Consider the following 25,839-nt stretch of genomic DNA (forward strand, 5'->3'; position numbering starts at 1 on the left):
TTAAATTTTATCTACATTCATTCTGTAACACACAAAAACTAAAATAATTTATAAAATATCTATCAGAAGATAACAAATAAGCAGCCGATTTCAAAGCACTACAGGAATATTTTAATTGTATCAGCCACATAGTAGGTGATTTTTCTAACTCCCAGAAAGGAGAGCTGATTTACTATGCTCCTTTTTGGCCTCCTTGAAGCTTAACTGATCCTTTCCATGGAACCATAAAGCAAAATAGAATCACTAACTGTATTTGTCTGCTAAAAATCCATTGCTGTAGGCTTTTTATTAAGAAATTTTAAAATTAACCCTCACCATTATGAAATAAAAACTCTGTATTTCTGAACAATTGCTTTTTCCTTACAAAAAGGACATGATTTTATACCATCCTGCAAATGATCTTTTCAAACTACATAAGATGTACTTTTGCAGCTCACATGCACCCATGTATTGCAGGTGCTCTAAACTAGAAGAGGAATGTTTTTCTCTCAGGTCCTTCCCTTTCCCTTTCGAGGTCCTCTTTTCCATTGGTATGGTTTCAAGAGCTTCACAGCACAAAATGAAAAGTTAGTAACGTTGTCTTTCTTAGTAAGGAGATGAGGGAAAGAGGGAAAGAGGTGGGAAAATGGATGACAAAGATTCATCTGTATGACAAAGAAAGGGCATTTTAAAAGGGCTGGTTCAGACTTATATCACAGAAATTCACCTGGGTCTCTTTTTCCATTATACCTTTTAAGAGGAAACCCTGATTTGATTTATACCTATTTCTATATTAGTGTTAGGGAATGCAATGAGTAGTTGATAACGAATTGGAACATTTAGCACAATATCAGGTAGAGTCCTGACTTTTGAAAACCTTCACATCTAATATGAAGTTTAGTTCCAGACATTGACAAAACAGAATATATGAAGCTTTATGTTAATACAATCAATATACAATTGAAAGAGCTCAAAACTAGGTCATAAGATATGCCTTTTATTTAAATTACTAGTTATTCACAGGCCTTAATTTTTCCAGAATAGAAAATAAGCTGAAGAGAGCCTAGAGGGCATAAAGAGAAAGGTTCCATGAGCAGATCTTCAGGTATCCACGGACCTTCCTGGACTCTCTTATACGGTATCTCGCTGTAAATATATGCATCTCTATATATGTGTGTATATATCCATATACAAACATTTTAAAGGAGACTTCAGTTCTCCCCCTATAATGACAGTAAATACCTATTATAAAAGACTCCAAATATTCAGAAGTACGTAAAAAACTCAGTATGCACTCTCAACACAATTTCACTTCTCATTCAGACCCTTTTCTCTATATCGGTGTGAGCACCCACAACATTTTTGTTTTCATGGAAATGGTCACACATAATGCATATTATTCCACTCAAAATATTTGGGATACCATTCCACGTCAGTATATACAGATTTAACTCATCTTATTATGGCTTCTAAGTATTTACTAGTATAGATTTATCATTTACCCATTCCCTGACTCGTGGACTTTCATGTTCTAGTTTATTGCAATTACAAATAATGAAATACCAATGATAAGGTTTGGCTGTGTCCACACCCAAATCTCATCTTGAATTGTACTCCTATAATTCCCATGTGTTGTGGGAGGGACCCAGTGGGAGATAATTTGAATCATGAGGGCAGTTTCTCCCTTACTGTTCTCATGGTAGTGAATAAGTCTCATGAGATCTGACGGTTTTATCAGGGGGTTCCCCTTTTACATCTTCCTCATTTTCTCTTGCTGCTGCCATGTAAGAAGTGCCTTTCACCTCCTGCCATGATTCTGAGGACTCCCCAGCCATGTGGAACTGTAAGTCCAATTAAACCTCTTTTTCTTCTGAGTCTCAGGTACGTCTCTTTGTCAGCAGCGTGAAAATGAACTAATACAATCAACATCCCTATATAATGCATTCTAGGGAGCTTATAGGAATACCTGTATATGTAGAAGTGGAATTGGCCCAGTCATGAACTTTTTCTCTTTTGAAATGCATTGACAACCCTTTAAAAGGGTCAATCTATTCTCTCACCAAAACGTATGACATTCTTCTATAAGCTTAACACTAGATATGAACTATATGCTGAATATTTGTAGATTTTCCAATGAAAATAGCCTTTCGTTTTCATTTGCATTTCTTTGACTAATGAAGTTGTGTATTTTTTGTGTTTATGAGTCATCCCCATTTCATCAATAAACTGCCTGTTCGTATCTGTAGTAGACTGTTACACGGGGGCTTCCCATGAATCACCCCTCATATTCACACTCTAATGTTATCACCTCCTACATTGGCTCTGGGCTTGGCCATGTAACTTCTTTCTGGTCAACAGTGAATTAGTCATCATAGCCCAAGCTGAGGCTTGATAAGGGTTTGTACAGTGGGGTTTTTATCTTTGTGTAGCTCCCTCTTAGAACCCTATGCCATTTCACAGAGGCCCAGTCCCCTGCAGGAAAGGCCATATGAAGAAAGAGCTGAACAACCATTTGAACAAACTATTTGAAGTGGTTTGTTCAACAGCAATAGATAAAAGAAACAAAATCCTTGATCTATTTTTGTATTTTCTTACTAATTTGTAGAAACCTGTTATAGTTAAGAAATCCAAATCCCTTCCCACATTATATCTGGTAAATATTTTCCTTAGTCTGTTCTTTGCATTTTAAACATGTTAATCTTCTATATGGCAAAAGTGACATAGTCAAATATGTTACTTCTAGGCTTTGTGTCTATAGTAATTTAAAACAATCTTTTATCTAAATCAACAGAACTTTGAGTTATCCATAGCAATCTCATCCAATCTGTGGAGCTTGGCCATTCTTTTTCTGTTTTTCTAGCAGTAAAACAGATTAAAAGAAGAAAGGTAGGTGAATTTGTTAGTAAAATATTGTAAAAGCCCAGGTGAGAATTACATGGGGTTTAAAGCAGGACCATCAGGGCTGTGGTTAGAGGAATGGGAGAGAGAAAGAGAGGGGGAGAGAGGGGGAGAGAGGGGGAGAGAGGGGGAGAGAAAGGGAGAGAGAGGGAGGTAGGGAGAGGGAGGGGAAGAGAGGAAAGGAGAGAGAGGGGAGAGAGAGGGAGGGAGAGGGAAAAGGAGAGGGAGAGAGAGGCACAATGGCTCACGCCTGTAATCCCAGCACTTTGGGAGGCTAAGGCGGGCAGATCACCTGAGGTCAGGTGAGGGGAGGGTTATCTGAGGGGAGCAGGGAGGTGGAAAAAATAAGACAGAGCAGTCATAGATCTGGAGTTCGAGTTGACCTTAGAGAAAACAGTAGAGCTCCTGGCAGAAATTAAAACTGGGCAAGTTAAGTTGATTTGGGGGATAAGACAAAGAGCCCTGTTTTCAAGATGTCAACTAGCAGTTGACATGTCCAGAAGGCAATAGCAGACAGAAAATTGGCCCCAGGGAGAGGGCAGCTTTGAAGATTCTGATTAGGGCATCATCAGCCACAAGAACAGAGCAATTTAAATTAGCACAAAAAACTGAAGGTGACAGATGACCAACATCTCACAGCTCATTAAAAGCACTCCTGGGACGTGGATCACACACCTGATAAAGATTTCAACACACAAAATATTTGCTTTGAGCTGAAGACAATTTTGGTCTAATGAGTGCTGACAGTACTTCTGGCTACACTTCATGAAATGGTCGAGACAAAGGAAATGTATGCAAACAGTGAGACCTCCAGTGGTGTGGGCTACGTCTGGGCGGCCCAGAAGCATGCTGACAGAAGCAGAGTGCTGGGGCACTAGGAAGGCTCTTCCTGCTTGGCTGCCACAGCTGATTCAGCAGGAGAAAACCGAGATCATCCTGTTCTCACAGGAAAGTGCAACCTGACCGAAATAAGAACACACGGGCATTTTGGCCAGGATTTTGAAGAATTTTACTTTCACACACTGCACTTTTATTCTCCTTGTGGTTGGAATGAAGAAATAGACACTCAGTGAATTGAAGTGCTTTAAAGAACCGAAAATGTGGTCACAGTGCCATCACGTGATGTGAACTATCTGCTGGATGAAATGTTCAAGAGTGCTGGAGAGAGACCAAGAGTTTATCCAAGACAGTCTCGTCTTATGAGTAAGACAACTGAGGTCCGAGATCATATCACTGGCCAGTGGTTTGTTGGGGCCAAGACTATGCCCCTTCACTCTCACTCAGTGGTCTTTCCTTTAAAAGAAAGATATCTTTGTTAGGAGAGCAGGTGGGAACATTTGTACTGACATGAAGACAATAAAATTATATGGATACTTTCTGATTTCTCTGGTTTCCATTATTTAAAGATAGTGAGTTATATCTAAAGGAAAACTTAAGAGGATGGCTTTGATCTTCCAGCCTATGAAGGAGGTGGGTTAGGGTGAATAGAGATTGCAGGGTGTGGCTAGGTCATCAGGATTCCTTTCAAGAACAAGAACAGAGCAACTTAAATTTCCTGTGATCTGACAAGACGCAATCATATAAAAAAGAAATCTAGGAAGCCCTCCTGAGAGACCCTACATAGGGAAAATCAGCTGCTGTCATGCAAATGAAATCACCAACTGACCAACCCATTGCAGAAAGCCCTTACAACCAAGAACACCACAAGCAAAGAAATACACTTTGGGCCAGGCACAGTGGCTCATGCCTGTAATCCCAGCACTTTGGGAGGCTGAGGCAGGCAGATTACCTGAGGTGTTCAAATAGCCTACCATACATGTAGGCTATATGGTGTGGCCTATGCTCTCAGGCTACAAACCTGTACATGTGACTAATGAATACTGTATGCAATTGTAACACAATGGTAAGTATTTGTGCATCTAAACATAGGAAAGTTACACCTGAGGCCAGGAGTTCAAGACCAGCCTGGCCAACATGGCAAAACCCCCTATGTATTAAAAATACAAAAATTAGCCGGGCATGGTGGCGCATTCCTGAAACCCCAACTACTCGGGAGGCTGAGGCAGGAGAATCACTTGAACCTGGGAGGCAGAGGTTGCAGTGAGCCAAGATCATGCCACTGCACTCCAGCCTGGGCAACAGAATAAGACTCCGTCTCAAAAAAAAAAAAAAAAAAATTCACTTTGCATGGTGAGGGTCTTCTTTTCACTTGGATATATAGACCACACCGTGTTTCACATGTGATCAAGTATAAAATATTCCACACTGCAAAATAGCAAGGTATGATTCAAATATAGCAGTGTTCTAGAAATGTAACATTGGTAAAAAATAATGCATCAGGATGAATGCAAATTTTAGCTAAGCCATTCTTCTTATTCTTCTGTTTTTCTTATTATGCCATCTCCTAAAGAATTTCAGGTCAAACTCCAGTTTGAAGGAGCAAATGATACAAATGAGCACCCCACCAAGGGCTATAAAAACAGGTCCCCCAACGCCAACCGAATTAAGAGCGTCTAATATTTTATTGCAGTAATTGAAGCTGATTTTTAAAATAAACTCCATCTGGTGCACCGGGGCTCAGGAAGGTAACCTCTGTCAGTCAGGTGATTAAGACCTTGGGAACAGCAAAGACCTTACTCCAAGTCCCACTGACTTCTGTTAATACCTGAGCAACTGTCAGGAGGGAGATGCCAGAACACACCAATTATTATATGATGAACAGGCAGGCCCAGCAGTCAAATGTGCTGCAGTGATATAGTACCCAGTTGGGCAATTAACTTGTCCCTAGCAAAATTTGTGGACAACAAAGCACTTATAATCTACAGCTGCTATCCACATTGGTCAGTGATTGCACTGAAATTGATTCTTCTCAATAGGCATGGGGTAAAGAGTACAGCAATGTGACATTAGTGGCCCACTCATTTTGCAGAGTCTGCCCATTATCCTCCCCATCATGCAGATAAGCAAGCTGAGACTCAGAGTAATTTGCCCAAGGATACAATAGAGGACCTTGTGCCAGATGGTTGTTGGACTGCTGCCTGGCTTTCTCTGGAGCCAACGGGCAAGGACATTATTGGAATGGGCACTTTCAGGAATCCTTAAAGCATCTCTGGGTCCAATCCGGTTTGCTTTGTTTATCCCCAGCTTTAGCTTGTTTACACAAAAGTTACCTGGAGACTGTGTCATCATTCAAACCCTATAGATACCCAAGCCAGCAAAACCACCACAAGCTCTGGAGCAGCCTCTTGGTGGGCAAGCTTCCTCTAATTCAGGGATTGGCAAACTATGACCCATGGACCAAATCCAGTCCACTGCCTGTTTTATGAATAAAATGTGCTGGAACACAGCCATACTCATTTGTTTCCACATTGCCTATGGCTGATTTCGAGTGACAACAGCAGAGCTGAGTGGTTGTGACAGAGGCAATCTAGCCTCAAAAGCCTAAAATAACTATCTGGCCTTTAGAGAGTTTTCTGGATCCTAACTGGTGGCGTCGCTGCTCAGAAGGGCCTTCATCTGCACTCAGAAGCCTTCACAACACCACCCTCCGCAGTGGGCTGACTCCCTGGTCAATCTTTTCCTTCCTCAAGTGGACTGGACTCAAAAGTACTCATAGGTTCCCTCAGGAAAGGAAAAGCTGCACCTCAGACAAGTTAGGCCTGCCCAAACCGTGAGCCCTGTGACGTTAGAACATTAGCAGCTCAAGAATCCTAATGCAAACCCCAAACAGCAGGTGCCATTCTCTGAAGGTGTTTTGGAAAACATTTTCCAACTCATGGAGACAGAAAAATACAGTCATGTGGGCTGGGTGCGGTGGCTCACGCCTGTAATCCCAGCACTGTGGGAGGCGGAGGCAGGAGGATCACGAAGTCAGGAGATCAAAACCCAGTCTCTACTAAAAATACAAAAAATTAACCGGGCGTGGTGGTGGGCGGCTGTAGTCTCAGCTACTCTAGAGGCTGAGGCAGGAGAATGGCATGAACCCAGGAGGCGGAGCTTGCACTGAGCTGAGATCGCGCCACTGCACTCCAGCCTGGGCAACACAGCGAGACTCAAAAAAAAAAAAAAAAAAAAAAAAAAAAAAAGAAAAGAAAAGAAAAGAAAAAAAAGAAAAAAGAAAAATAAAAATACAGTCATGCATTATAAGTTCTAAACAATGCATCATTAGGTAACTTCATCATTGTGTATACATCAGAGCATACTTACACAAACCTAGATGGCATAGCCTGCTATACATGTAGGCTGTATGCTGTGGCCTATGCTCTCAGGCTACAAACCTGTACAACACGTGATAATAAATACTGTATGCAATTGTAACACAATGGTAAGTATTTGTGCAACATAGAAAAGGTACAGTAAACATATAAAAAATGATATACCTATTACCTATAGAGGATACTAACCATAAGTACAGCCTGCAGAACCGGAAGAATCTCTGGATGGGTGAGTGAGGAATGAATGTGAAGGCCTGGGACATTACTGTACAATGCTGTAGACTTTATGAACACTCTACACTTAGGCTGCACTAAATTAAAAAGTAAAGCACACCACGATGCCACCATGGCTATATCATCACTAGCTTGATAGGAATTTTTTCAGCTACATTATAACCTTACAGGACCCCCTGTCCTATATGCGGTCCATCCTTGACAGAAACACCATTGTGTAGCACATGACTAAATACTAATTATTTTTTCACTACTGTTGGTCACCATCTGTTTATAAGAGACTAGTCCTTTAAAAAACTATTAACATTTCCAGTGATTCAGGACTTCTTTGTTGAAGTGGAATACTTTTGACATGGACAAACGAAGGGGAATTCAAAGTCAGAAAGACTTACTTAGTTCAAATCTTGACTGTCATCTATGGCCTCTAGAACCCTGGAGCAAGTTATTTAGTCTTCCTAGTGCTCAGTTTCTTCGTCTGCAATATGCATTAGGTATCGATTGCTGTGTAACTGACTACCCCAAAACTCAGTGGCTGAAAACCAGCACCCATTATTTGCTCATTGCACTCCATGTGGCCTAAGCTCAGCTGGGCAACGCACGCCTTGGCCACTCATGGCTGTAACTGGCTCACAGCTGGCCTGGGGATGGAGGGTATAAGATGGCCTCAATTCACACAACTGGTACCTTGGTGCCAGCTACCGTCTGGCCCTTCTCCATGGGCCTCTCATCACTCAGTAGTCTGGCCTGGACTTCCTCAAATGAGGGCAGGGACATTCCAAAAAGTGGTAAGGCTCTTTGTGGCTCAGGCCCTGGACCTCACACAACATCGCTTCGGGCACATTCTACCAGTCAATGAAAGCCACAAGGAGTTAAGAAATGGACTCTCCCTCTTAAAGGCCTGCAAATTATTGTGAGCATTTTTCCCCCAGGATGTTCACGCCTTTGTGTATTATGAAGTAACACACGTAGAGTGTTTCGTCAGAGGGTCAGTTCATGAACTTATATGGGGCACACACAAAAAGAACTTCTCTTGTCTCCATCCAGCTTTTGTCAAGATTATATGTCTTAACAAAGACTTTCCTCCCACTAGCCTACATCTAGGTTTTGGCAGCACCTGGAGCCAACCCAACATCTCTTTATGCTTCCACTCGCCAAGTATCCATTTGCTGACTTAATCATCCAAAAGAAGAGTATTTCAAAGTTGGCAATAGTTCCCACATCGTTTTTCTATCAGTAAACCTGGTTTGGAAAGATCACTTTACTGTGGGAAGTAGTCTAAATAAAAAAGGGAAATACCTGGTCAAATTCATTTATCATAATGTGAAGAGGCAGCTGATGGAAGATGTGTCTGGAGTATTTTCACTTGCCTCTCTAGTGAAAGGAACAAATGTAACCAATCACTTTGAAAAACAAAATCACCATACACTTATGTCTTTGAAATGAATGTTTCGATTTGGTTAAGGAGGGAGTTTCCTCCTTGAATTGATGCTAAACTTCCTCTGATCTATAATGTAGCTGTCCCACCTGTCCAGCCATACAAAGATATAAAACAGTAACACTGAGGAGATAAGGCAGAGATGGAATGGTAGTCTCCTCTAGTTGCATTGCTACACTTACACCTTCTTTTATGGTGTAAGAGGAGGAGGATCTCCTCCTCCATGTGTTGGGATGCACCACCACTAGCCACGCTGGTTATAGCCTGTGTACAGAAGGTTGCCCATCCTAATCTTGAGATCATTAGGACAGCAAACCTCTGGCCAAATTAATGTGACATAATTTTAAGAAGTCCCTGTTCTACTCAGCCAGTCTACCCTGGAGAAAGAGTTTACCCTCATTTCATCACAGTCATTAATTTAATGATCTTGCATTATAGCTCAATTGATGCAACACAGTCTCATTCAAGCATGAGCACATGTAACAGACTTCAAAAGCACAGGGGACATTCTTACTGAACCAAAGAGGAAACTGAGACCCTGAGAGGTTGTTACAGTCATGCACAACCAAAGATTGCTACACACACACAACCATTGAACTGGCCAGGCATATGTAACCCAGATGCAGTTAACAGCCCTGCCTTGGAAATCAACAGATGGGCTGCTGGTCCCTGAATGGATATGGAGTCGTAGCTGCTGGGAAATGTTGATAGTGCCTTTTCAATAGCATCATAAACTCAAGCCATTAAAATCCTTCCTGTTCCTGTGTTGAAGGAAAGAGGATGAAGTTTTGTACATGATCCAGACCAGTCGCAGTGCCACTCCTATTTGGGAAACATACACTTTAGGTGCTCTGTAGGCAGCCTTCTGCTACTGAGCCAAAAACTGACAAGTGGTACTGAAATGTCACTGCTGTTTTCAGCTACCCGGGTCAGCCACAGATTCCAAAGTGTTCCTCCAACACTGCAGCCTCTGCCACCACTATGGCGACCCGGAGGCCAGAGGAAGAGCAATCCTTTTAGTTCTGCAAGTGTAATTAAAATAAATTTGTGTATTACAAAGCATGGCCAATAGCTTTCCCTTTCCTTTCAGATTTTAGAGAAGTCACTGCTGTGGACATAACATCTGGAAGACAGGTCTGGTTAATGATCAATGTTCGAATTAATGAAGATAGAGTGTACTTTTTGTTTTTTTAGAGATAAGGTCTCACTCTGTTGTCTAGGCTGGAGAGCAGTGGTGCGATCACAACTCACTGCAACCAGTAATTCCCGGGCTCAAGCCGTCCTTCTGTGTAGGGAGGTCTGCAGGCACTCCCCACAATGCCCAGCTAACTTTATTTTTTGTTGAGATGGAGTCTCGCTATGTTTCCCAGACTTGTCTTGAACTCAAGCGATCCTCTCACCTCAGCTTCCCAAAGTGCTGAGATTACAGACATGAGCCACCATGCCCAGACTGGAACCAGAGCATACTTCTGTCCAGGTCAAAAGCTTGAATCTGGAGTAATGGCTTCAGGGAGAGGAGCTGGCTCTCTTTCATGATTTTCTACCTTTTGTTTCTGATTTTAAGACCATGTGCATGCATCCCATGTTACACACAGTCTTTCTACATGATGGTATGACTTAAAACTAGATTATGCAGCACAGACAAGGTGTTTCTTGATTTTGCCATTAAGCCAAAGGTCCTCTGAGTAACCAAAATAGCTATATTGTATTGACTGGTTATGTTGTCCCCATTCGCCTTTGAGTCACTAGTCCCAAGAAGCAGGGAGGCCAGAGGACTTGAGATAAAAGGATGAACTCTAGTATAGAACAGGCCAACACTGGCTAACTCTTAAGGACTCAAAAGGCAGATCTGTTGAATGTTCATGGGCTACTTGACTCTCTTCTCTCCCTATTACATGAGAGATTTTATGTGAGAAGGTGGTTGAGAAAGGGTCCCATAGTCCAGCAGGGGTTACCAGCCTCCTCCAGCCAGACAGGACAACCCCGTGGAGACAAAAGAAGGGGTAGGTTCCAGAGTGCAGGTCATGGCCCTTCTCCCCTTGCCTAGCCACTACCTGCAAATGTACTCAGAATGTAGTCAGACCGCAGGTCTCTGACAGAATGCTCCATTTTCTGGAGAGAATAAAGCAGCAGACCTGAAGTAAGCCAAGAACTGGTTTTGCCACTTAGTTGTCAGGGGACATGATTCCTTAGATTTCTCTCATTCTAACATTCATTGTATTCTTCCCCCAACAACTTGCTAGACAGGCATGTATGTGTCCTTCATGTTTCAACATGTAAATTGAAAATGTGACCCATTCCACATGAATAATGAGACATATGGTGGTAAATAATCTCAGAATTTGGAACACTTTTTTCTTGAAATTACATTTTAAAAACACTTTGACAAGGAGAAACACAGATTGCTCAGTGCTCAAATGACTAAAAGTTTAAAAGACCATATGGGTCCTTAGCTCTCTTGGGAGGGAAGGAGTTGAATTTGATGGCACATTTTAATAGATACATTATAGTCAAGGCTATGAAACTGCCCCAAGACCTACATCTTTGGCTTTTGCTGTCTCTTCCAGTTGTGTTTGTGAACAGGTGTCATGTTCCATCTCTGCTCCATAAGCCCAGGTCCAGTGTCATAATTCAGGAATTTGGTTGTGTTAGAGCCTTAGATTTCTATTTCAGGAAAATTAAGACAATGACTTGAAGAAAGCCATGCAGTTTCCTTAGAAAAAAATGGTTATGGAGATATTATACAGTGGAAGTCTTCAGTGCTGCTCAGAACGTGCAGAAGTTTAAAATAAATGCTGCCATATCACATAAGAATGCCAACAACCCTGGGGTCTTTACATTGCATAAAAGAGGGTCAATGTTACAGTCACAGTTGAAACATCCTGAAGAAACAGACCGATTCCATTTCATAAATCTAAGAGGTTTAAAATAAATGCTGCCATACCACATAAGAATGCCAACAGCCCTGGGGTCTTTATATTGCATAAAAGAAGGTCAATGTTACAGTCACAGTTGAAACATCCTGAAGAAACAGACCAATTCTGTTTGTTATAAATGAAGTCTCACCTTGGCACTAAACCCACAGCTCAGGAGATTGGGGGTGTCACAGAAAGTGCCGGAGGGAAGCTGTGCTATATGTAGCTTTGATAACAAAGCACACTTTACAGATCTCAGAGCTTTCAGATTCTCATCTTTTTCAGGATTCGTGCAGAAGAGGGTATCTAGGTCTCAGCTCTGCAAGCTCCCATGTCAGCCTTAACGGGGCCCAGGACCTCTGTTCCTCCTTCCTGATATCCAGCCTCCAGCTTGGTTCCTGCCGTGCATGACACCTTGGCTGACCTACCTGCTGTGGCATTGTCATGGGCTGCTTTGGGAAATGCATGAAATACAGACAAGGTGTCTTGTCCTCAATGAGCCCCTGAGATCTCAGCAGAGCCAAATTGGAGTTGTAGACAAATCCTGGGGTTCTCAGGGCCCAGCTGTGTTTTGTCTTCCAGGAGTGATTAAAGTGGAGGCCATGATTGAGTACAGAGTGCGAGGAGGACTCCAATCAGCAGGACAGGGGAAAGTGACCTGCAGTAACATATGCCTCCTCAGCATTCTTTCCTGCAGATGACTAATGAACGCTCTGGGAGTGACCTTAATCAGATGTGCTGTAATTACTTATTGAATGTGATCCAGCTGCAGAAGACAAAGGGTTATGCAATATTAAAGGCAGCTGGAAGCAGAGTCCCCGCAGCAGGGCACAAGTAGAAGGGCAGGCAATGACCTGTGTGACCGAATTTAATTAAAAGGGTGCTTTTCTGCTCAGAGAACCAGGTATTATTAGTAGGATAAAATCAGTTCTGAAATTAACAATTATTTGGAAAAAAAATCAATACATTGTCATAGTAACTCTTCCAACCCACACTGAGGTTTTTTGTTCCCACTGAAGTGGAAATGTCCAAGGAAAGAGGTATTCCGTACAAGTCAATTTTATGAATAGTTTAAGGTTAAAATAGACAAAGCTGTTTGCATTGTTTATGGGAATATTTATACATTTTCAAACTCTGCTGCATTTGTGCTGCATCAGCCCAGCTAAGCTGGAATTGTATTTCTCAGAATTCCCAGCCCTGCCATGTTTCACATTAGTGCTGGCCACCAGGGGTATCTTGTGTGTGATTTGGAAGATGATATACAGCAGCAACCTGGTTTGCACCCTCTCAAGGTCAGTGTAGGGCACCAGGTGCAGCTCACAGGCCAGCAGCTGGGCCCCAATCCCTCTAACTCCCACTGAGCTCAACTTCTCTGCATCCCAGGCCAGCATGTGAAGCTCCCAGCAGAGGACTCCAGCTTCCCATGCATGTCACAGGCAATGTGGAAGTTAGAGGCCTAGAGCCTCTGGGAGACTGGCATGGATGCTAGCTTGTCCTCCAGATTTGAGCTCATCCTTGATTTTCCCCACTGTGAGTTCATCTTTCTTCTCCAAATACCAGCCCTGCTGATTTGAGGGTCGGCACCCACACAACTGCATGAGCATCCCTCATCACTCAGTTTCTGCTTGTCTGATTCCCTAACTGATACACATACTGAGGCAGGGAACTTCAGGCCGATTCTCACTGACTTCCTAGAACTGAGTCAAAAGGAAAACCCCACCTCTCCACACCCAAGTAACAGAAGGATCAGGGGCTACTCCCTTTGCAATCCCCCCATTTCCACTGTGTTGCAGATGAGAAATACGAAGTACCTCTGATTGGTCCCCTCCTGCAACCAGTCAGACGTTTGCATAGGGTGTAGTAACTTTTTAACTTCACTTCAGCCTCTGTTTGATCATAGGCCACTACTTCATTTATATGGGGTATAACCAAGTAACCAATGGGGAACTTCTAGGGGGGATTTAAACCCCAGAAAAGTCTGTAACCAGTGCTCAAGCCACTTGCTTGAGCCTGCTCCCACTCTGTGGAGTGTACTTTCTTTTCAATAAATCTATGCTTTCGCTGCTTCGTTCTTTCATTGCTTTGTGCGTTTTGTCCAATTCTTTGTTCAAAACACCAAGAACCTGGACCACTCTTAGTCAAGACCCTCCGCTGGTAACAATACCTTTATTAAACTACGCATGGATATAAAGTTTTGTTTTTGATGACCATGTCACTATCATAACCACTCCTGCATTTCAAAGACATAACATGGTAAGTGTGGGGAAGAGAAACCCCTAAAACTCCCCGGAGGTGGAGCCGAAGACTGCTTTCTATTTGGTGACTCACGTGTATCTTATGTCTCCTTTCTAAGGGATTGTCAAGGCCCCTTTCTTAACATCATTCGCAATTCGCTAGCTGAAGTAAAGCAAGATCACTTGGCTTATGGAATCAGGGAACATAATTTTACACAGAAACTGAAGTCCACTTTGAAATAAAGCATGAACACAGTTTCTCTCAATTCAGCAGTCTTCTAGTTAGTTGAGGTTGTTGAAAGTGTGACTTCAGAAGAACAGGACTCCTTGCACAATGCTATTCAGCTGCACAAAATGGTGAAAGTCAAAGAATGCAGAGACTAGATTATGAGAGCTTTCAGATTCACTCATGAATGCTTAAATCTGTAAAGTACCATAAGGTACATGGATGTACTTTGGTCAAGGAATAGGCTGAGGCAGATGTCCAGCCAGAGTGACTCAGTGAGTTTAGAGCACATGTGTATAACTCCACTTGTTATCACAGCCATGTAGCCACAACATGGGAGGACCATCTCTTGGTTCTACACCACTATTGCCTGTAAAAGGTATAACTGCCCTGCTGATGCTGTACAGGGGCTCTTGGGGCTTGGCTTGGCTCAATATGGTTTGACATGGCGGGCATGCTGGTGCCCAGAGAACGAGAGAGCCAAAGCTGTCCATCTTGCAAATGGAGAGGAAGGAGCCAGGATACAGCTTAGCTTGCTTGTGCCCAGAGAAAGAGTTAAGCTGCTGACCCTGAAGGCAAGGAAGAGCTGACTGCACAGCTGTGTATGGGGGTGGCCAGCTCCAGCAGCCAAGACAGGGTGGACAGTGGGAGAGTAAACTGGTGATGAGAAAGCTAGTTTGAGAAAGCTGTTGAAGAGAGCTACTGCTGAATAAAATCACGTTTCACCTGCCTACGGCCCCCTAAGTGCTCTTTCTGTTCATCCACTCACTCCCCTCGGACTTCAGCATGGGCTGGACCTGGACCCCGGGATCTGACAATTGGTGATGAGGATGGGATGAGGTGAGTGGGTCTTCAGTCCCTGAGGGCTCCTAGGTTAGCTGTGTGGCTGCAGCATGGGCTATGGTACTCAGTGGCAGTGGTGCTGCTTGGATGAGCCCCAGTGGAAATATGGGAGGCAGTAGATGGGGTCTCCTGCAAGTGTGGAGATGGCGCTGAAGCATCTGGAAGTGCACAGCAACAAGCTGCGTTTACTGGCTGAGTTGGATGGGTGTTTCTGACTGCACTGTGGGAAGTGCATGTCCAGTCCCTGCAGGACGCAGCACAGGGAAGAAGAAAAACCTCTGTTGCAGGCTTACCCAGTGATCTGTCAGAAAATAGAGCATAAGCAGCTCTTGGGCCCCACAGGTGGACCCAGAGGCCCCCTACTGTGGTGGAGCATACTTCCTGTGGTGCCCGTGCCCCGCCAAGTTGTGGGAGTTAAGCAAGTAATGTCGGCAGTCATGTACAGAGTTAGTGCAAGTCATTCGGAAGAAGGACATTGCTGCGCAACCCAGTCCCATCCAAGCATTCCGGTTCAAAGAATACCTGTTACAGCTGGCGGAAGCATAAAGCCTCTTGTGTTTAATAACAGAACTGGCCAAGGTCCTTGGCTTGGGGGACTCCAAATAACCAAAGACCACGTGTGGACTTGGGAATCTACTGGTCCCTGAACCTAGATAAGTTTCTGGGCAGAGCTGCATTTATTAACAGCTATGAAGGCCAGTCAGTGGAAGTGAAACCTGTGTCTCTGCGTCTTGGCATCAGCCATTTAGTTCTCTGCCTATGCACTGTGCATGTCTCTCCCATGCCTGAAGATATTCTGGGGGTGGATGTTTCACACGGCTTGGCAGCTGTACTCTCTGTCATGGACTTGATGGACCGCTGGACAATGCAACCGGGACAGTCCACCAAGAGCCAGGAACGGTTTGCCTTCATGGGAGGGTGACAATGGACTTTCACAGTGTTGCTGCAGGGCTATATGCATAGCCCTACCATATGTCATGGTCTTACTGATATTATGCTAACCTCTGATTCTCTTGCAGGTTTAGAAGCAGCAGTGCCCCTCTTGCCTGGGAGTTGGGATGACAAGGCTGGAACAGCCTTTCTGGTAGCCAGACTATATAGCAGGCACAAGCCCTACAGGTAGTTAGCCAGGGATGCCCATTTGAAGTGGATGTGCATGTAACCACAGATAGTTTTGGCTAGGGCCTATTGCAGTGCATGGGTATGCCCATAGGCTTTTGGTCCCACCTGTGGAAGGGAGCTGAACTCCAGTATTCCTTAATAAAAAAGCAGTTAGCATCATTCTCAGCAAACTAACACGGGAACAGGAAACTAAACACCGCATGTTCTCACTCATAAGTGGGAGTTGAACAATAAGAACACACGGACACAGGAAGGGGAACATCACACACCGGGGCCTGTCAGTGGGTGGGAGACAAGGGGAGGGAGAGCATTAGGACAAATACCTAATGCATGCGGGGCTTAAAACCTAGATGATGGGTTGAGGGGTGCAGCAAACCACCATGGCACATGTATACCTATGTAACAAACCTGCACGTTCTGCACACGTATCCCATAACTTAAAAAGAAAAAAAGACCTACATGGGATTAAACAAAACAAAAACAAAAGCAGGGTGTGTTCATGAGTAACCACTCCCTGGACTGGAAAAGCAGTTAGTAACTGCATATGCTGCCCTTCTGGCTCATAAGAGTGTGGCAGGGCGGGTTACAGTTGTCACGTGGACAACTTACCCAATAGCAGGATGGGTGTGTTGATGGATAACGACTCCCCGGACAGGGACGGCACAGACATCCACTTCAGTGAAGTGGGGCACCTACTTAGAGCAGTGAAGCATACTAAAGTACAAGTCCCTTAGCAGCAGAGTTACAAAAAGTCTTGAGACCTGTAGTCCTAATGCAAGATAAGGCCATGGGGCCTAAGGCACTCCTAGACCCTGAGCCTTCACTGATAGGAAGAGCGTCCCCCCATTCCAAATGGGACATGGTGCACAGATGGGCCTGCTGGTGTGGTCCAGCCTAGTACTGACACCATATGGTTTAAAACCAAGTGGAAACAGAGTACTGAATGAGCTAAGCTCAGGGCAGTGTAAATGATAATCACCAAAAGGGTAACTCCTATGGTAATCTGCGCCAATAGCTGGGCAGTTTATCAAAGCTCATGTATGTAATGGGCCTGTGTACCCAAAAGCTTAGTTATGTATCAGGCCTGCATGCCCAAAGCTTATGTGTCAGGTTTATATGTCAAGCCTATGTGTATGTATTGGGCCTGCATGCCCAAAATTACGTCAGGCCTGTGTGCAAAACCTGTATATCAAACCTGTGTGTCCAAACCCTATGTCTCCCTCAGCCTAGGGGGTGGAGTGTAAGTTACATGGACGTGCTTTGGTCAAGGAATAGACCGAGGCAGACATCCGGCCACAGTGACTCAGTGAGTTTAGAGTGCAGGCGTGTAACTCCACTTGTTATCACAGCCATGTAGCCATAACATGGGAAGGCCATCCCTTAGCCCTATGCCACTATTGTCTGTAAAAGGTATAACTGCCCTGCTGACACTGTACAGGTGCTCTTGGGCTCTTGGGGCTTGGCTTGGCTCAGCTAAACATGGTTTGGCATGGCGGGCATGCTAGCGCCCAGAGTAAGAGAGTGGAATGGAAGGTACATCTGCAAGACTGACAGGAGGGAGCAAGGACACAGCTTGGCTTGCTCATGCCCAGAGAAAGAGTTAAGCTGCTGACCCTGAAGGCAAGGGAGAGCCGGCTGTGCAGCTGTGTGTGAGGGCGGCCAGCTCAAGCAGCCGAGACAGGGTGGATGGTGTGAGAGTAAGCTCCTGCTGAGAAAGCTACTTTGAGAAAGCTGTTGAAGAGAGCTGCTGCTGGATAATATCATGTTTTACCTGCCTATTGCCCCCTGAGGTGTTCTTTCTGCTCACCCACCCTCTCCCCTCAGACTTCAGCAGGAGCTGGATCTGAATCCCCAGATCTAACAAGTACGTAGGCAGAGAAGATAGGTCTAGGTTTAAGCCAAGGTCATGATTTGTAAACTTGAGTTATTTATTGACTGCTTTAAATAATACTTACACATAAAGATAAGTTAAAACAGTGAAATTCTATCAAAAATCCATTACCTCCCTTAGTCCTTTTAGTATGGTCTTTCATGCATGTGTGTATATACATACATGCAAACACACAAGCTGACTGGCTAGGCATGAACACCTGACCCACAGAAAAACCAATCCATTGGTAAACCAGGAACCAATCAGAACCTATCTTTTTAGATTATTAACTAAGAAATTTAGCAATGTGAATCAGAATTAAAGAGGAGGGTAATCCTCTCCCACCACAGACAAACTGGTACACTTCAGAGACTAGAAAATCAACCAGCTGCACAGAGAGAGGCAGAGACAACAGACCTTGTGGCTCCAGAGAGGTGGAGAAATGACATAATGTGGGCCCACATGGGAACTGATTTCCTACACTCCATCTCCATGTCAGTCCCCTGATCTTTTCAATAATAAACCTGCTTTCTACCCGAGTTACTTTGAGGGGATGTGCACACGCGTACGTTCTGGCCGGAATCCAGGTGTTTTTCCCATCCACACAGTACACTTTTGTTACCTGTTACTCCCTGGCCCATCCTAGTTCTGGCTGGGGTCAAGACTACCTCATGAACTACTGGCACACCCCCTCATCTGGGGTCACTGAAAATTCCCTGAGCACTCAGCTGTCCCTAATTCAGTGGCCTTCATGCAGGGGGTGTGGAAAGCCTCCCTCACATGTTGTGGCCACATGTGTCTCTATGTCCTCTGTGCCATCACTGAGCCTGTGGCCAGGCCGCCTTAGAGGTTTCGATCTCGTTTGTTTCAGTTCTCTTGTTTGTTTCCCAGTTTGAGTGGTGGTGTTCAGGGAATGGACTCTTCCATATAAGTCACGGATTGCTTAAGCCCAAAACAGAGACAAGACTGTTGGCATGTTTATGAGTTTATGTATTTTTGTTCTCTGATGAAATCTGTATCCACGATTAGACTAGGACGACAGAAGAGAGCAATGCAACCCTTACAACCCCACCAGGTGGGTGAGCTGCCCAGAACATCAAATGGCAACTGCAGAGGTAAAGGTACAGGTCCAGGCATGGACTGAGCGAGAGACACAAGATGGAATGTTGTCTTGTTTCCAATATAAAACCCCAACTCTGCTTGTTAGAATACATGTGGATGGGGGTTGGGGGGAAGAATAGAACAAATCTGCTAAAAATAAGCACAATTAGTTTTTCTTGATTTTTTAAAATACTATTTGTTTGCTACTTGTGCATTCATTTGGCCATCTGGCCAACATTTGGAAGCAGACTATCAGTAGCAAGCATCCAGGGTATTTACGAAATTATAGAAAAATTGAAGTAAAAATTCAGCCATATTTTTTTCTGTGAATCAGGAAGATAACATCACTATTTGATTCTGGCTGTGGGCCTACTCAGACAGGCTCAAAGGGCACCAGAGGCTGAGAAGCAGTAGACCCTACAGGGCAAGGCCCCTGCTGGTATAAGTGGATCAGCTTCAGTGGACGCCTGGAAGCTCAGCACCAGGGCTATGATTCCAGTCACCAAGTCTTTGTTGAATGCCTACTAGCAACACAGAATTCTCATGCCACTGAGGTCATAAAAGATGATCAGAAGCCAGTTCTTCCCAACAAAGGAACTTAGGATTTACAAGTCAGTAAAACATGTGCAACATTTCCAGAAATGTACCAGAGTTGTTCGTGATCATAACCCCAAATCATTGGTACCTCGATGTTTAGAGGGGAAACAGCATTGGCTGGGCAAGCTGGGGCAGGGAACGTGATGAACAGTGGGCTGGAATAAGTTAACTGGAGGAGGGGAGGCGTCTCAGGAAGGGAGAATAGCATGAACAGCAGCATAGACGTGAGAATAACCATCTGGAGTGATGAACCTATGCTGAGTAGAAAGTTCCAGAAGGCTGCATAAGGGAGGTGTGTGAACAGCAGAAGCAGGACAAACCTGAGATGGTGAGACATTCTTCCCAGGGCAATCTGACTCTAGGAGCCACATAAAGACAATCTTTATAACTATCAGCAGCTTAAAGCCTGATTTCCTCTTAACTCTAAAACTTTCCTTTCGAAAGTGTTTCATTTATATTTACAAGTTTAATACAAAGTTACACAAAATTCATATTTTATAGAAATGCATAAAGAATGAAGGGTAAATTCCTCTTTAATCCTATCTAGACAATCGTCATTTGACATAATTCTCTCAACTTTATACTTCCTATGCACTAATTATATAAATGAGATCACAAAATGAGATACTATATATATACACACACACATATAAACACTGTGTTTTTACTTTGTATATTGAATATTTTCCATTGTCAGTACATAGAGCTGCATATTATTTCATCATATGACTAGATCATGGTCATTAAACCATTTCTATACTAGTATATTTAATGAGAAAACTAGAAACAACCTAAATATATGACAATGTCTTCAGTACTTTCTTTGTACCCTTCAGAAGGTATCTATTACTAACTGGCTTGTATTTCACTGATCTTACCAACTATTTTATGAAGTCTTTGGGATTCGTGTGAAACATCTATGTCTTTCATAGCATCTGGCACAGTCTTCCGGACAGAGGGTGTGTTCAAATACTGCAGCTGGAATGAAGACGATGAACACTGAGGCCATATGAGGTTGGCTGGGGAAAGGAGAAACTGAAGACCATTGAGAAAGGCTGATCATTTGCTAATGCAGGGTCAAAGTGATGACAGCCTGGCCTTGGTCCATGGTGGTAGAAGTAGAACATAAAGAATAGATCTAGGAGGGATTTAAAGGCCATCAACAGGGGGACTGCAAAGTATATGTTCAAGCATCAGTCACATGAATCTCAGCTAAAACCCATAAACATGATGGCTTGGAAAATCCAGCGTGATCACTGCAACAGAACTGAGTAGTCAGCCTTGTTCCCTTGCTCATGATGGGCTTGGCTAACACAAGCCCCTGAGGGAGAAAGGTGAGCACAGGGGAGAACAGACAGTGAGGTAGAGGCAAGGGCCACCCTTCAGGGGAGCACGAGGAGTCCACTCTGGAGTCTGTCATGCTTGTGGTCTTCTTGGTTAACTCTGAGTGTCAAAAATGTAGGTAGGTAGAGGAGGGAGGGAGGAAGGGGAGTAGAAAAGAGAATGACCAGGGCTGGGGTTTAGTCAGATGAAGGCTGTCAGAGTTCTAGGAAGTGTTTTGTTCAGAACAGGGCTCCAACCAATGGCACAGGACTGGGGATCAAGGTCTGGCCCTCAATGAAGAGCATCAGAGAAGGGCTGCAAAGGGCTGTGTTGGGTCCACAGCAAGAAAGATGTGGTACGAGGTAGACAAAGGGCTGTCACTCAGGCTGGGTAACCAGGGGCGAGGGGCAGGCTGGGCCACAATGTCCATAACTCACTCTCTACAGCCCAGCCCCACACCTGGCCCCACTGAGGCCTACTGCACATAGTGCCTGACCTTAGAATTAGGACCAGCTTTGTAATTTGCCTGGCCCAGTGCAAGATGAACCTATGGGACACCTCATTTAAAAAATTAAGAATTTTCAAGATGGCGACAGCAAAGCATTAAACTAAGCATAGGGCCCTTTTAAGTAAGCATCAGGCCCTGTGCAAAAACCCAGACCCTGTAGCTAAGAGGGGAAGACGGGTTGTCACTAGATTTTTTTTTTTTCTTTTTTTAAGAACAGTACAGATAAACAGCCTGTTCTCTTCTGAAACACACTGCTGGGTTTTCAAGCTTTTTTCTCCCCAAAGAAAATCGAATGCAAAACTCAACCTAATGCATAAAATAGTCTCAGGTGCATCTTCTCAGGCTGTTACGTCAGGGCTCCTGAACTCCCCCATCCCCCAAATGCATTGCCAAAGACCCCGAGTCACTACCTCTGACCTTGGAGACCCAAAAGGCAGTGTTAAAGCTCACTGCAGTAGGCTCTATTATCTTGCATAAGAGAACAGTGAATAAGAAAAAGCCATATCTGGTAACTGAGAGTGAAATACCCAGGACACACACTGCAACAGCAACCGTGGCTACCAGGGTGCCCCGCAGGCAGCAGGTCAGGAAATCAATCAGATGCATGGTTTCCACATCATTCTACCACAGTATCATTTTCTTTCCACCCACAGGGTGACACACAATGTCTCTTCCAGGGCCATTCATAACATAACCATTTTCATTATTTAAATAAAGTCCCTGGGTCAGTCACTTGTCTCTTGTGACCATCTTTGAGAGAAAATTTCCAGCAAGGAAACAATATGGAGCAGGCTTGCTTAATAGGCTCATATGCATAATCTACCACTCACCCTAATTAAAACTACCTTTAGAAAAGCTATAAAATGGAAGCAAAAATAAAAAAAAAATTAAAAGTCAACCTAAGATGATGGAAGTACCATGACATGAAACAACTGTAACTTTAAATCGCCAGATTTATCCTTAATACATGGTTTTCAGGCATTTGTTTGGAAAAGGCACTGATAAAGTAGGAAAGAAGTACTCAACTGTCTTGAGAAAGGAACTGAGCTGTTCTGTTCTGGTGTAGATTGCCAAAGATCATGTTTGCAAATGCTGCTAATCTTATCTGAACATATTAATAAAGTCCCTAAATCCTCCTATTAAGAAATACTACCACTGACAGTGCAGCTGGCTAACATTTGCTTCTTAAATGCTATCACCACTCTCTTTTTTTGTCCAACCCCCACCCGCTGCTGCCCCAACCCCCAAGAAAAAAAATGATGGCTGCTTCCTGGAATGTTTAGCTACCAAAAAAATCTCTAAAGCCTCAGAAGACATTGTGAGAGAACGATGATGAAAGTCGGGGTGAAATGAACAATTAAGATAAACTATGCAGAATTCTTTTTAAAGAACGAGCCTCATAAAGCTACCATGTTAGGACCACAAATCATTCTGCAGATTATTTCCCCTCTATCTGTAAGCAAAGAGGTGAGAGGATTAGGTCATTTCTAAGGTCTCCTCTCATCATGATGTCCTGGATTTATTGAAAGAGGTTTTAAACGCATTTTTTCTTTTCTTTTCTTTTTTTTTGAAATGGAGATTAGCTCTGGTTGCCAAGGCTGGAGTGCAGTGGTGTGATCTCGGCTCACTGTAACCTCTGCTTCCCAGGTTCAAGCGATTCTCCTGCTTCAGCCTCCCAAGTAGCTGGGAGGCTACCATACCCAGCTACCCTACCCACCACCATACCCAGCTAATTTTTTGTATTTTTAGTAGAGATGGGGTTTCGCCATGTTGGCCAGGCTGGTCTCAAACTCCTGACCTCAGGTGATCCATCCGCCTTGGCCTCCCAAAGTGTTGGGATTACAGGCGTGAGCCACTGCGCCTGGCTGCATTTTCTTTTATTTACTCTATTTCATTAGACATTTCTTGCTTGTGTGCCTAAGTTAGCTAATGGGGAAATCCAGCAGACAGCGATGGGAAGCAAATGATTGCAGTCATGCTTTTTCCTTGACTCCATCTCAAGACCCATCCCACGCTGCAACCCAAGTGGATCGGGTTTTAATGTAGCAATTCTATCAGTGACCCATGCTCTGCTGGTCACTGACACCCCTTCTGTGTGTCATTTTCCAGGGCTGATGATATCCTACGTTCTGCCTAAAATTGTCTGAAACTCTATTCATGACTTGCCAACTACGTGACTTTGCTCACTACCACCACCACACTGTTCTGTTACTGACAGGGAAAAAGATGATCGTACTTAAAAGTCATTGCCAACAGTGTGCAGATTTAAAGCAGGCCCAACAACTCCTTCCAGGTTTTATCAGCAGACACATATCACATACAGAAGCATCCATCCCTTTCCTAATGCTATTTTTAAATTGTTGTATTTTAAAATTTTCTTCATTTGTTTTTGAACTTTCTTCTTGCTCATAGATTTTTAGAAATCGCTGTGGTAGCTATTCTTTTTCTATTTTTTTAAGTCCGAATTCATATAGAGAGAACCACGGTTAGGAGAATCCTTTTCAGGGCAAGAGTGGGTTTCTGCAGGGGTTCTTCTGGCACTTTCCAAACCTGAATGTCTCCAAGTCCTGATATCTCAAATTATCTGGCAGAAATAAGAGGCCTATTTTTTTTTTTTTGGCAGAATGTGAGGTTCTGCCCTGTTGTAACAATGCTGTCTTCTCACAAACTACTCATGTGCCCTATAAGAAGATAACCCACAATCCCTGATTCTGCTTTATTCAATGACTAGCTACTGCACAGACCGTGTAAATGGACAGGACAGCCAGAGAGGTGAGTGGGAAGTTTAGTACAGATGTGACTGAAAACACTTGGTATTACTTCTCCCCAAGACTTCTCGAAAGGAGCTAGCACAGAGTATTGGTGAACAGACTTCTGAGCACCTTTTTCTATGTGGCCTCCAAGAAGAAACCAATGGACTATTTACTTTTCTACTTAGCAAGGTTTCAAGAGACTCTCTAATAACATAAGTCTTCTGATTACTCCCTTTCTTGATCATGAGAACTAGGGAGAAGATGGCTAAACTGAAGCAACTTGGAGCTAGAAGATAGGCTGCATCTGCTCAGTTCACCTGCGCAGACCAAAAACAGTGCACGCTGTAGGCGGCCCAGTCCAGCTGAATTTCATCAGATGGGCATGTGTTTCCTTCCCCAACTGCTGGCCTCAGCTTCTCAGAAGGTAATGTATTGAGCCAAGGTGAGCCCTGCAGGTGATCACCTGGACACCTCTGCCCATCTGTGAGAGTGAACAGCATGCTTACTACTGTGGTAGGCTGCAGTGCCACAGCAAGCTGATTCACACGTAAAGGACATGGGCAGGCCATGAGTTCTCTCTATCCAGGGACATCTTGCCAACTAAACCTCCCACCTGCCACCTCCACCTTAGTCCTGCCTGAGTGTGCTCTCACCCACTACCTTCACGGATGTCTCTGCGTCTCTGTTCACTGGCTGTTTCCACTCTCAAACCTACTTCCTTTTCCTCTCTGCAGAGGGGTGCATCTCGGGTTATCTCCAAACGATGTTCGATTCCACTCTCTCCTTTTATTCAAACAATTCTCCTCACATGAGTGGCTACCCAGCAAGTCTGGCTCTCCCTCCAGCAACCCAATCTAGAAAGCTATAGCATCTGTCTCATAAGGGCTGGGTTGGCTGTGGTTCATTAAGAAGGTATTAAGCACTTTATTGTACCAGCTTGCCAGAAACCGAAGACTCCTTCTAAATCTGTTGCTTCACCTGATGCCGATTTTACTAGCAGTCTGTCCTAAAAATGGTATATCTGGTAATAAAAACAGATATTTTGAGCACCTATTAGATTTCAGATGCCATGAACTATTCACTAGTTGATTTATCTTTTGCATCTATTCATCAATTCCTTTATTTTTTGCACTAGCACTGCAAGCCAGATACAAACTCCCAATTTACAGATAAGAAAACAGAATGTCAAAGAGGAAGTAGCTGAAATAACACAGCTAGTAAATTAGAGTCAAAATGAGGCACAAAGCCCAAATTCTTTTTTACACAATGTTGAACACAGATGTTATTTTTAGCAATTCATCTCCCCCCGCCCTTTTAAAAAAAAAAAAAGAGACAGGGTCTTGCTCTGTGGCTCAGGATAGAGTACAGCAGCACAATCAATCATAGCCTACTGCAGCTTCAAACTCCCAGGCTCAAGCCATCCTCCCACCTCAGTCTCCTAAGTAGCTGAGATTACAGGTGCTCAACACCATGCCTAGCTAATTTTGTTTTTGTAGAGATGGAGTCTTGCTCTGTTACCCAGGCTGGTCTTAAACTCCTGGCCTCAAGTGATCCTCCTGTCTGGGCCTCCCAAAACACTGGGATTAG

General features: G+C 43.8%; 1 protein-coding gene across 6 annotated transcripts in view, besides 14 other annotated features; it reads right to left on the minus strand.

Moving 5' to 3' along the window:
* Positions 1 to 25,839, minus strand: part of CCBE1 (collagen and calcium binding EGF domains 1) — a 266,783-nt gene that overhangs the window by 113,129 nt on the left and 127,815 nt on the right. The window lies entirely within an intron of this gene.
* Positions 1,453 to 2,854: a meiotic recombination region, noted in NCBI's record as "this region was identified as a recombination hotspot within the HapMap CEU population". NCBI's record gives the evidence for it as "EXISTENCE:nucleotide sequencing assay evidence [ECO:0000219][PMID:20981099]".
* Positions 1,453 to 4,270: a biological region, named in NCBI's record as "meiotic recombination hotspot L".
* Positions 2,319 to 4,218: a meiotic recombination region, noted in NCBI's record as "crossovers mapped in sperm cells of males of European ancestry". NCBI's record gives the evidence for it as "EXISTENCE:DNA detection assay evidence [ECO:0005519][PMID:18650392]".
* Positions 2,467 to 2,857: a meiotic recombination region, noted in NCBI's record as "this region was identified as a recombination hotspot within the HapMap YRI population". NCBI's record gives the evidence for it as "EXISTENCE:nucleotide sequencing assay evidence [ECO:0000219][PMID:20981099]".
* Positions 2,551 to 4,270: a meiotic recombination region, noted in NCBI's record as "meiotic double-strand break mapped by DNA meiotic recombinase 1 chromatin immunoprecipitation followed by single-stranded DNA enrichment and sequencing in the germ cells of some male individuals with the PRDM9 A/A, PRDM9 A/B and PRDM9 A/C genotypes". NCBI's record gives the evidence for it as "EXISTENCE:chromatin immunoprecipitation-seq evidence [ECO:0000229][PMID:25395542]".
* Positions 2,970 to 2,985: a nucleotide motif, noted in NCBI's record as "nucleotide motif; similarity to the predicted 16-mer PRDM9 C-type binding motif, CCNCNNTNNNCNTNNC".
* Positions 2,990 to 3,005: a nucleotide motif, noted in NCBI's record as "nucleotide motif; similarity to the predicted 16-mer PRDM9 C-type binding motif, CCNCNNTNNNCNTNNC".
* Positions 3,012 to 3,027: a nucleotide motif, noted in NCBI's record as "nucleotide motif; similarity to the predicted 16-mer PRDM9 C-type binding motif, CCNCNNTNNNCNTNNC".
* Positions 3,030 to 3,045: a nucleotide motif, noted in NCBI's record as "nucleotide motif; similarity to the predicted 16-mer PRDM9 C-type binding motif, CCNCNNTNNNCNTNNC".
* Positions 3,054 to 3,069: a nucleotide motif, noted in NCBI's record as "nucleotide motif; similarity to the predicted 16-mer PRDM9 C-type binding motif, CCNCNNTNNNCNTNNC".
* Positions 3,097 to 3,112: a nucleotide motif, noted in NCBI's record as "nucleotide motif; similarity to the predicted 16-mer PRDM9 C-type binding motif, CCNCNNTNNNCNTNNC".
* Positions 3,148 to 3,160: a nucleotide motif, noted in NCBI's record as "nucleotide motif; similarity to the predicted 13-mer PRDM9 A binding motif (LD hotspot motif), CCNCCNTNNCCNC".
* Positions 3,201 to 3,213: a nucleotide motif, noted in NCBI's record as "nucleotide motif; similarity, but not exact identity (7/8 nucleotides), to the predicted 13-mer PRDM9 A binding motif (LD hotspot motif), CCNCCNTNNCCNC". NCBI's record gives the evidence for it as "COORDINATES:motif similarity evidence [ECO:0000028][PMID:18650392, PMID:19165926]".
* Positions 3,390 to 3,903: an enhancer, noted in NCBI's record as "NANOG hESC enhancer chr18:57214689-57215202 (GRCh37/hg19 assembly coordinates)". NCBI's record gives its function as "activates a minimal SCP1, AML or CMV promoter by ChIP-STARR-seq in naive and primed H9 embryonic stem cells {active_cell/tissue: H9 hESC(naive and primed)}" and the evidence as "EXISTENCE:reporter gene assay evidence [ECO:0000049][PMID:30033119]".

The sequence above is a fragment of the Homo sapiens genome, chromosome 18 (genome assembly GCF_000001405.40).
Source record: "Homo sapiens chromosome 18, GRCh38.p14 Primary Assembly".
Classification (NCBI taxonomy): domain Eukaryota; kingdom Metazoa; phylum Chordata; class Mammalia; order Primates; family Hominidae; genus Homo; species Homo sapiens.